This window comes from Homo sapiens, chromosome 10, assembly GCF_000001405.40.
Source record: "Homo sapiens chromosome 10, GRCh38.p14 Primary Assembly".
NCBI classification, from domain to species: Eukaryota; Metazoa; Chordata; class Mammalia; order Primates; family Hominidae; genus Homo; species Homo sapiens.
The window spans coordinates 19262247-19274538 of NC_000010.11; the positions used below are offsets into that span (position 1 = coordinate 19262247).

At 34.7% G+C, this 12292-nt stretch overlaps 1 protein-coding gene across 11 annotated transcripts in view; it reads left to right on the forward strand.

Annotated features, from left to right (window-relative positions):
* MALRD1 (MAM and LDL receptor class A domain containing 1) overlaps positions 1–12292 on the forward strand; it is a 687552-nt gene that overhangs the window by 215320 nt on the left and 459940 nt on the right. Inside the window, exon 1 of one of the 11 annotated variants that reach the window (XM_017016186.1) lies at positions 3141–3168. The exons of the other annotated variants lie outside the window; for them this stretch is intronic. The gene's annotated coding sequence lies outside the window, so the exon portion shown is untranslated. Of the gene's footprint in view, positions 1–3140; positions 3169–12292 lie in introns of those variants that run through there. 11 annotated transcript variants of the gene reach the window in all.

Genomic DNA, 12292 nt, shown 5'->3' on the forward strand with positions numbered 1-12292 from the left:
ACAATATGATGTTTTGACATGTCTATATATTATGAAATAGTTAGCACAATCAAACTATTAGTAATTGACACATCTCTAACCTCGTGTAGTTACCCCTCCTCTGTGTGTGTGTGTGGTAAGAGAACTTGGCCGGGCCCGGTGGCTCATGCATGTAATCCTAGCACTTTGGGAAGCTGAGGTGGGCAGATCACCTAAGGTCAGGAGTTCAACACCAGCCTGGTCAACATGGTGAAACGTGGTCTATACTAAAAATACAAAAGTTAGCTGGGCATGGTGGCACACACTTGTAATCCCAGCTACTTAGGAGGCTGAGGCAGGAGAATTGCTTGAAACTGGGAGGTGGAAGTTGCAGTGAGCCAAGATCATGCTACTGCACTCCAGCCTGCGCGACAGAGCAAGAGTCTGTCTCAAAAAAAAAAAAAAAAAAGCACTTAAGATCTACTCTCAGCAATATTCAACTGTACAATATCTTGCTGCTGACTATAGTCAACAGAACTTATTCTTCGGATAACTGAAAATTTGTACCATCTTACCAACATATCTCCATTTCTTTCATCCCTCGACCTCTGCTAACTACCTCTGTACTCTGTTCTGTGAGTTCAACTTTTAGATTCCTCTTACATGTGCAATCATGCAGTATTTGCTTTCTGTGTCTGTCTTATTTCACTTAGTGTAATGGACATGGCATTATTCTAATTTCATAAAGACAGGATTTCTTGATTTTTTTAAAGCTGCATAATGTTCCAATGTACATATATATTAGATTTTCTTTATCCATTCATCTATCTCCATACATGTAAGTTGTTTCCCTATTGTGGCTATTGTGAATCATGCTGCAATGAACATGGGAGTTCATTGGAGTCCAGATGTCTCTTTGAAATAGTGATTTTATTGCCCCTGGATATACACCCAGAACTGGGATTGCTGGATCATGTGGATAGTTACATTTTAAATTTTTTGAGCAACCTCCATACTGTTTTTCATAATGGCTGTATCAATTTACATTCCTACCAACGGGTATAAGTGTTCCCCTTTCTCCACATCTTCACCAACACTAGCTATCTTTTAACTTTTGATAATAGACATCCTAACAGATGAGAGTTAATATCTCATTGTAGTTTTGATTTGCATTTTCCTGATCATTACTGATAATGAGTGCCTTTTCATATACCTGTTGTCTATGTCTTCTTTGGAAAAAAATGTCTATTCAGGTATTTTGCCCCTCTTAAAATTGGATTATTTGTTGTTTTTTTTTGTTTTGTTTGTTTTTGCTGTTGAGTTGTATAAGTTTCTTACGTAGTTTGATATTAACTCCTTATTGGTTATATGGTTTGGAAATACTTTCTCTTGTTGTGATTTTTGTACATGATGTAAGATAAGAGCCCAATTTCATTTTGCTTTGCATGTAGATATCCATTTCTTTAATACCACTTATTGAAGAGATTATTTTTTCCCATTGTATATTCTTGTCACTTTTTTTATTGATTACTTGACTTTATATGTGTGGGCTTATTTCTGTGCTTTCTATTATGCTCCATTGGTCCATGTTTCTGCTTTTATGCAAGTACCATGATGTTGTGATTACTACAGCATTGTAATATAATTTGAAATTGGGAAGTATGATGCCATCAGTTTTTTTCTTCTTGTTCAAAATTGCTTTAGCTATTTGGAATCTTTTGTAGTTCTCTATGAATTTTTGTCTTAGAGACAAAGATTTGAGGATCTTAGAGGAAAAGCTTTTAACTTTTTACCATTGAGTGTGATGTTAACTTTGGGCTTGTACAGGGGTTCGCTTTTACCCACATCCTCCCAATACTTGTTAAAAGTTTTAAGACTGTTACTGTATTAGGGAGCATTTCTTCTATTCCTAATTTGTTTGGAGTTTTTATCATGAAAGGATGTTAAATATTGTCAAATGCCTTTTCTACATTTTTTGACGTGATCATAAGATTTTAAGCCTTCATTCTGTTAATGTTATGTATCACATTTATTAATTTTCATATGTTGAACCACCTTTATGTCCCAGGGATAAATTCCACTTGGTCATAATATATGATCCTTTTACACTGTTATTGAAATCAGCTTGCTAGTATTTTGTTGAGGATTTGCATCTATATTCATCAGTCATATTGGCCTGTAATTTTCTTTCCTTGTAGTCTCCTTTTCTGGCTTGGAATCAGGCTGAATTTTTTTTTCCTTTTTTCTTTTTCTTTTTTTTTTTTTTTGAGACGGAGTCTTGCTCTGTCGCCCAGGCTAGAGTGCAGTGGCATGATCCCTGCTCACTGCAAGCTCCGCCTCCCAGGTTCACGCCATTCTCCAGCCTCACCCTCCCAAGTAGCTGGGAGTACAGGCGCCCACCACCATGCCCAGCTAATTTTTTGTACTTTTCGTAGATCCGGGGTTTCACTGTGTTAGCCAGGATGGTCTCGATCTCCTGGCCTCGTTATCCGCCTGCCTCGGCCTCTCAAAGTGCTGGGATTACAGGCGTGAGCCACCACGCCCAGCCCAGGCTGATCTTAAAAAATGAGTTTGAAAGTGTTTCTTCCTCTTCAGTTTTTGGAGGAGTTTGATAAGGATTGGTATGAATTCTTTAAATGTTTGGTGGAATTTAGCAGTGAATCCATAAGGCCCTGGACTTTTCTTTGGTGGGAGATTTTGGTTAATTATTCAATCTCATTACTCATAATTCATCTGTTTAGATTTTTTTATTTCTCGTTGATTCCATCTTGGTAGGTTGTATGTTTGTAGGAATTTATCTATTTCTTTAATGCTGTTCAATTTCTTGGAGTATAATTGTTCATAGCAGTCTCATATGATCCTTTGTATTTCTGTGGCATCAGTTGTAATGTCTGTTTCTGATTTTATTTATTTGGGTCTTCTGTTTTTCTTATCTAAATGGTTGTTAATTTTATCTTTTCAAAAAATTAATTTTGAGTTTCATTGATCTTTTTATTTTTTTCTTCATTGTAATTATTTTTGCTCTAATCTTTATTAGTTCCTTCTTTCTATTAATTTGGAGCTTAGTTTGTTCTTTTTCAAGTTCCTTGAGGTATAAAGATAGATTGCTTATTTGAGTTTTTTTTATTTCTGAATTTTTTTTATTTTTTAGGTATTCGGTACTATAAACTTTCCTCTTAGAACTGCTATTGCTGTATCCCGTAAGTTTTGGTATGTTGTGTTTCCATTTTCATTTATCTCAGATTTTTTATTTCATTTTGATTTGTTCTTTGACCTACTGGTTTTTAAGGAGTATGTTGTTTTAATTGCCATGTTTGTGAATTTTCCAACTTTTCCCCTCTCAATGATTTCCAGTTTCATACCATTGTGGTTAGAAAAGATGCTGGATATGACTTCAAACTTCCTAATTTGTTAATGCTTGTTTTGTGGACTAACATATTATCTATCCTGGGGAATGTTCTGTGTGCTCTTGAGAAGGTGTATTCTGCTGCTGTTGAATGAAATGTTTTGTATATGACTGTTAGGTCAATTTCCTCTAAAGTTTCATTTAAGTTCAATGTTTCTTAATTGATTTTCTGTCTATATGATCTATCCATTGTTGGAAGTGGGATATTGAAGTCCTTTACTATTATTGTTTTGCTGTCTCTTTCTCCCCTCAGATTTATTAATATTTGCTATACATTTGGGTTCTCTCATATTGAGTACATATATATTTATAATTATTATATTCTCTTGATTAATTGCTATATATTTATATAATGACTTTTTGTCTCTTTTTACCATTTTTTGCTTAAAGTATATTTTGTCTTATGTAAGTATAGCTTCCTGTGCTCTTTTCTGGTTTGCATTTGCATGGAATGTGTTTTTTGTTCTTTCAGTTTTAGTATATCTGTGTCCTCAAAGTGGAAGTGAGACTCTTGTATGCAGCACATTATTGGATATTGTTTTTTTTTTATCTGTTAAGACATTCTATGTCTTTTTGTTGTAGAATGTAATTCACTTACATTTAAAGTAATTATTAATAGGTAAGGACTTACTATTGCCATTTAAAAAATTCCTTCCTAGCTGTTTCGTAGATCTTTTGTTTCTTTCTCTCTTGCTATCTTCCATTGTGATTTGATGATTTTTCTGTAGTGGTATGCTTTGATTGCTTTCTCTTTACCTTTTGTGTATTTACTATAGGTTTTTGCTATGTGTTTAACATAAGGCTTATAAAAACCAGCTTATAGTTACAACGATTCATTTTAAGCTGATAAAAACTTAATTTTAATTCCATACAAAAATCCTACACGTCTTCCCACCCCAACATTTATGTTTTTAATTTCACAATTTACATCTTTTTATATTTATAATATTTAAAAATAATTCTAAATTCAGGATACAGAATACACACTAGTACTGTAATGATAATATGTAAATCACTTATAACTCTAAATACTAAAAGATAAATGTTATTAAAAATAACTATAGCATCAGTAATTTGTTAATGGATATGCAATATGTAAATAAATTCTTATTTTTAATCTAATCCATTAGGCAAAATTAATTACATTTCTAGTAGGAACTTAGCCATGTAATACATTTCTACAGTTCTTTGCATAGCTGTAAAATGATGTTGTCTATTACCTGAGGAGACCGCGGTGAGGAATGATGACAAAGTTATCATTAGATATAGGAATGATGATTCCTTATATCTTGAATCAGATCTTCAGATTAGATTAGGAATTGCTCTGAGACATTTATATTAAAAAGTGTGTATCTCAAAGGAAGTATTTGCTTTTCATTATTCTTTCTGTCCTTCATTAGAAAGGCCAGAATTATATTTTCTTCAGCTGAACATATATGACAGGAATTTTCTTTCTTGCACCAAGGATTAATAGTGAGATAGCTAGTTTATTTAGAAAAATAAAACACTGACTACATCACAAAATACTGTCTGCAAATTGAAAAATAATTTATGTGCTCTTTATTCTCTTTTAAATTTTCAGATATCAGCATGCACATTAGAATTGTTACTAAAATTATTAGTTATTACAATTTAAGTATTATATGAATATCCATGTTTACATTATTAGTAATATTTTATTTTCCCCAGGATAACTGTTACTAAAGCAGTGGCACATTGTACAACTGATGATGCCTTCAAATTGATAAAATATGATGACTATTTTAAGGATGCTTAACATAATTTTTATGATGTCCTCCCCCACCCCTCACACATTAAATGTGTTGTTTTGTTGTTGTTGAACTGGGTTGATTACATTTTTGGCATCCCTTCTCGTTAGCCTCAGTGTCTCACCAGCTTTATTTACAAATGGTGTTTAAGTCTTCCTTTATTCTGCAGAGATGAATGTTTATTTCAGTGTGAATCAAAAAGCAAGGGGAACAGTGTCAATACTATTGGCTTTACTTTTAAGATATCACCTGCAGCTTTTCATCTTCTAATACGCTGTTTGGCGTATTCATTATACTTGTCTCAGAATAATAAATTACATGAAAGCACTGTGTTTTGAAATATGCCTTTCTTTTGTATTTTTCTAAAGGAGGTGTAGACTCAGAAGAAAATACCAGATTATTGGAAAGTTTTGCAGTTTAAAGTAAGATTTCAGGGGAAAAATAAAGAAATTTGAGCCTTGGTGATTGCAATCTTAAATATTCTGGTTTTAGCTTCTTTGGTGTAGTCTGTAAATTGATTTAGCATATATATAGGGAAGAAAAATTTGACCAAAGTCTGCGATATGTTCAATTAACAGTTTTATTGTGTTCTTAGAAAATAAAATTGAACAAATTATTCACTTATTTTAAAGTTAAAACTTTTACATTGTTTCACATTCTCTCTTAATTGAGAGAAATGCTAAATGTTAAACATGGAGAAGGTTGTCTAAATGGTTAGTTCACAGCTTGGAAATTTTCCATCTGCTACTTCAGTCATTTGTAGTCACATTCAAATATAGTAGAATGCCTGTAAAGATGGAAAATGTCATTGAATCTTTGTTATAAAGCAAAAGTATTTCAAAAATTGCTGATTGGCTACCAGAGACAGAAAAAAAAAAGCACTGCATAGTTTGTGGCAAACAGCTATAACACAGTTGTTATAATAATAGTATCCAAAGAATAGCTATGCTTTCATAAAACCTTTTCACCTAGAAAGTATATCTAACACAGACACTTCAATAAAATCATACTAAACATAGTTCTTTCAGCTTGTGAGTATAACTCCAAGTTATTGTAGTAAGTGAAATAGAAGAAATGGATGATATTCCCCCAAAGCTATAGATATTTAAACATTTTAAATATTCTAAAGAGACTGTTTAAGCTTCAAATACGCTTTTAGATTTTTATATTAAATATATTTCTTAACTCAAAAAGTCACAGGGAAAACGTATACGTTGTTAGCTACAGGTAGATATAAAGTACAATGATTCATATTAGTCAAGAAATTCATTCAGTAATCATATGTCTAAAGTTGGTAATAATTTATCAAGGACTAGAGATGTTAAAATGTTGGTTTTATTTGCTTAATTATCAATGTGGGAATGGCTGTAGGGAGGGAAGTCTAGTATAAAACAAGTTGGAAAATCTATTTTACCAGAGAGAATATATTAATGTAGCCTGAAGTTTGTCATATGTGTTACAGTGAACTTACAGAGTGAGGAGTTAGATCACTGAGTCCATTTGGAGCCTGAGACATCTACTTATGAAATCTTCCACATGACAGATGTACAGGTAGTTTGGTTCCCCTGTGGCTCAGAGATGTGGAAGAAGATCAGATCAAACCAGACTAATCTCTGCTTCTTAGTGAGTGCAAACTTCAGTCATATGCATTTCATCTTTTCAATTTTTGTTTCATCGGCAAAGATTTTAGTGTTCTTTGTTTAAAGAGACTTAAATCTATCATTGCTACCAACTTTAGCCTTATTCTAAGCAATTATAGGCCAACAAAACCCTATAAGCTTTGTAATAAGTTGAATATTTTCCCCACTCCACAATTCATATCTTGAAACCTTAATCCCCATTGAGATGGTATTTGGAAGTGGGGCCTTTGAGAGGTAATTTGGAGTAGATTAGGTCATGAGGATGAGGTTCTTATAATGGGATTAGTGCTCTTACAAAAAGAGGATGAGACAGGAGCTCTCACGCGCTCTCTCGCTCTCTTGCTCTCTCTTTCTATATACTGCATAGTCATTTCTAGCATCACCTGAGTTAAGAGTGTGATACTTTAGAAAATACTCTTCTAAGTATTTGCAAAGTTAAATGAGTTGACCTCATGTCCCTTAGAGGAAAGTCTAAACAATGTGTGAGGACCAGAGAGTCCGTCAGGAATCCTGCAGTCCTTGTCATGCCTCAGTCACACATGAAGAACCGGCCTGACCATGTTTCTGGATTCTATTTTACTTCCACATCACAGAGTCTGTGAAATCAGCTGCAACTCCATCTTCCCAGTTACAACCACCACCAATTGCAAAGTTCAGCTCCAGAAGAAGAAACGCTTTTCTCATTTAGCTCTTTTAGTGCTCTTCTCTTCAATGCAAGACATTGGACTTACTTGGTTTGTAAAATTTCCTCATTCTGGTGGAGTAATAAGGAAGTAATGAGAATAGGACTAAGAATTATGAACTCTTAAAATGTTTTTGCTTAGAGTAGTTGTCCTTTTACTTATTCTCTGAAACCTTTTTAAGATAAAAATGAATTGTCTCTACTTTTCCTCAGTATGAACTCATCGGTCTCTCTTTCAAGTCATCCAACTCATGTCCATGATTTCTCTCTAATGATTATTCTCTAGTTAAGTTGAAATCAGAACTAAAGATGCAGTTCAGACTGCTGGTTTTGCTGAGTGTGGTGGCTCATGCCTGTAATCCCAGGACTTTGGGAGGCCGAGGCGAGTGGATCACCTGAGGTCAGGAGTTTGAGACCAGCCTGGCCAACACGGTGAAACCCGGTCTCTACTGAAAATACAAAAACTTAGATGGGCATGGTGGTAGGTGCCTGTAATCCCAGCTACTCAGGACGCTGAGGCACAAGAATCGCTTGAACTGGGAGGCAGAAGTTGCAGTGATTTGAGATCGCGCCACTGCACTCCAGCCTGGGCCACAGTGAGACTGTCTCTCTCTCTTCTCTCTCTCTCTCTCTCTCACACACACACACACACACACACACACACACACACACACACCAGACTGCTGATTTTAGTAGTATGGAAGACCAGATGACCTAAAAACTGTGACACTATTTATTCCTAGAAATGTTAACTATAACATAGCGTGCATTGATTTAAATGTCAAGCTGAGCTTAAAAAGGGGAAATCTCCAGGTGAGAGAAAAAAAGAGAGAGTATTGAGAAATAGAACAGAAAGACAAAGCAAATGCCAGAGTTAGGAAGTAAGAGCATATGGGATGGACAAGATGGAGAGAAAGGGGAGAGGAGAGCCAGAAGTGACTGAATTGCAAAAGAAGCACAATTAGGCTGATGACTGACTGCTTAACAGCAAGAACAGAAGTCAGAGGACAGATATAATTTTCAGAGTTCTAAAAACTATTAATTGTTAGCCTAAAGCAAAGCAAAACTTTTTCAGGAAAGAGGGTTAAGATGGCATTCAAAGGATAACACACACACACACACACACACACACACACACACACGCACACACAAAATAATATTATTTCACTGCACCAGATTCTGCAGTTCAGACAAATGAACTATGTAAATGTGAATCTCAGAAAGACACAAAATGAGCTCAACCAGGGATGTGATGAAAAATGGGAAACACATGGATAAACCTAAATATACGAATGAATGGCAAGTACATAATGCATGTTGAATGTTTATATACTGCTGGGAAGTATAGAATTACTTTGAAAACTGGTTTGGCATTATCTCCTAAAGTTGAAATTGTACATACCCCGTAACCAAGCAATTCCGTTTCTAGATACATAAGGAGAAATGTACAAAATGAGAAAACAATACCTTAGAAGAATCAACCCCAAAATCATTAACGGTAGAATGGCTAACTACAATATATTTTCATATAATAAAATACTAGACAGCATTCAGAATTACTGAATTACAATATACACATTAACACTAATGAATTAAAGTACTATCTTGAGGAAAATACCACATGGCATTGGTTAAAATCTCTAATCGTTATAATCTCTGTTGCTGATACAGAGAAAGCTTCCATTCATCTAAAGTTAAAAACCCAAATACCATTTTATTTAAAAAGGACCTCCCTGATGTTTACTATATTCTGTCACTATTATTAGAATTTTAAAATGTTAGGCCGGGTACGGTGGCTCATGCCTGTAATCCCAGCACTTTGGGAGGCCGAGGCGGGCAGATCACGAGGTCAGAGATCGAGACCATCCTGGCTAACACGGTGAAACCCCGTCTCTACCAAAAACACAAAAAACTAGCCAGGTGTGGTGGCACACACCTGTAGTCCCAGCTACTTGGGAGGCTGAGGCAGGAGAATCACTTGAACCCGGGAGGTGGAGGTTGCAGTGAGCCGAGATCTCACCACTGCACTCCATCCTGGGCAACAGAGCGAGATTCTGTCTCAAAAAAATATAAAAGTTAACTCATTTAATCACATAACAACCTAATGAAATAGAAACTGTGAGAGGATATTTGGTGTACTTGCAAATGAAAAAAATCATAAAAGCAAATAAATGAAAAATAATTCAGTATACTACTCACCTTGAGAGATGAGCAATGAGGGGTTAGAATCAGCAAGAAAAACACTGGAGGCTTCAAAACTATCAGGAAATTGACATTTCATTTTATTCATGTGTAATAAAAATTTATACATTTCATAATAAAATGTAAACAAGTGAGAAAAGTTTGTGCTGCTCAATAGACTAATAGATCAAAACTGGCTATTTATATAAATTAGATTATAATCATAGATAATATACAATAAAGTCTAAAGTAAAGACTTAAATGTGCAAACCACAACTATCAAAATTTAAAAATTATAGAAACATCTCGAATATTAGAGAAAAAAATTAGAGAAACTTTAAGGCATTAATCATAGAAGTAGTGATTGATAAATTAAAGGTCATTAAATTTTTTTTTATTTTGAAGGACACCATACAAAACAAAAAGACATTTCACAGACTAGGAGAATATATTTGTCATACAGATAAATAAGAGGATTAGAGTGGAGTTTGTGGAATATAAACCTGTAAATAAGAAAACTATAATCCAATTGGAAAAAGAATAGGAGATATGAACCATCAGTTATAAGCCAGAGCAAAATACCAAAGTGGCCCTTTAAAAGTATTTAAAAATATTTCGTTTTAAATTTTATCTTTTATTTATTTTTATTATATTTTAAGTTCCGGGATACATGTGTAGAACGTGCAGGTTTGTTACATAGGTATACATGTGCCATGGTGGTTTGCTGCACCCATCAACCTTTCATCTAGGTTTTAAGCCGTGCATGCATTAGGTATTTGTCCTAATGCTATCCCTCCCCTTGCCCTCCACCCACCACAGGCTCCGGTGTGTAATATTCCCCTCCTTGTGTCCATGTGTTCTTGTTGTTCAACTCCCACTGTGAGTGAGAACATGTGGTGTTTGGTTTTCCGTTCCTGTGTTAGTTTGCTGAGAATGATGGTTTCCAGCTTCATCCACGTCCCTGCAAAGGACATGAACTCATTCTTTTTTATGGCTGCATAGTATTCCATGGTGTATATGTGCCACATTTTCTTTATCCAGTCTATCATTGATGGACATTTGGGTTGGTTCCAAATGTTTGCTATTGTAAATAGTGCTGCAATAAACATATGTGTGCATGTATCTTTATAGTAGAATAATTTATAATCCTTTGGGTATATATCCAGTAATGGGATTCCTGGGTCAAATGGTATTTCTGGTTCTAAATCCTTGAGGAATTGCCACACTGTCTTCCACAATGGTTAAACTAATTTACACTCCCACCCAAAATATTTCTTGATGTAAAAATTATATAATTTTTACAATCTCAATAATTTTCATAATTTCCATAATTGGGAAAATACAAATTAAAATGTCAAATGTGAAATGCAAGGATGTGGAGCAACAGGAATTCACGTTCATTGCTGGTAGAAATACCAAGTTATATAGCCGCTTTGAAAAAGGTTTGATATTTTCTTTTAGAATTAAACATAGTCTTACCATGTCATCCAGCAATCAAGTGCTTTAGTATTTACCCAAATGAGTATATTCACACAAAAAACCTAGATACAGATAGGTGTTTATAGCAGCTTTATTCACAATTGCTAAAACTTGGAAGCAACCAGGATGTCCTTCAGTAGATAAATAGGTAATAAACTGGATCACATCCAGATAAAAATATTATTCAATGCTAAATAAATGAGCTGTCAAGCTGAGATATGAAGGAAATTTACCTGCCTGTTACTAAGCAGAAGAAGCCAATATGAAAAGGCTACATACCCTATGATTCTGACAATATGACGTTCTGGAAAAAAGCAAAACTATGGAGATAGTAAAAACATTAGTGTTTGCCATTGTTTAGGGGAGAGGGTAGGATGCATAGATGGAGGATTTTTAGAGCAGTAAAACTAGTCTGCATGATACTGTAATTGCTGATCTAAGTGCTGACAGGAATAGGGTGTCAGATTTGGGGTTGATGAAAACAAAAAGATATGCCAGTGTCCAACAAGCATAGGAAAACATGCTCAACATGATCAAATAAGGAAAATGGAAATCAAAACCACAATGAGACATCACCTCATACCCATTAGGATGGCCACTATCCAAATAATGAAAAATAGCATTATGAGACTATAGAGAGATCAAAATTCTTGTGCATTCCTGGTGGGACTGTAAAGTGGTTTAGCCATTATGGAAAGCAGTATGACCATTCCTCAAAAAATTAAAAATAGAATTATCCTATGATGTAGCAATGCTACTTTCAGATACATATCCAAAATAATTCAAGCAGAATCTTGAGATTTTTGCCTCCCCTTGTGTCATTGCCACATTATTCACAATAGCTAAGAGGTAGAATAACCCAAATGTCTATTAACAGATGATTGGATAAAGAAAATGTGGTATATACATACAATGGAATATCATGCAGCCTTAAGGGGGAAGGAAATCCCATCACATGCTGCCACATAGATGCTGTGGACTGAACGTATTTTCCCAAAATTTATATGTTGACATTCCAACCCCCAACGTGATGGTATTTGTATGTGGGATAATTAGGTCAGGAGAGTAAAGCTTTCATGGATGGAATCAATGCCTTTATAAAAAGACAGGAGAGAGCTTGCTTTTTCTCTCCCTATTCTCTACCATGTGAGGATACAAGGAGAAAATGGCCATCAGC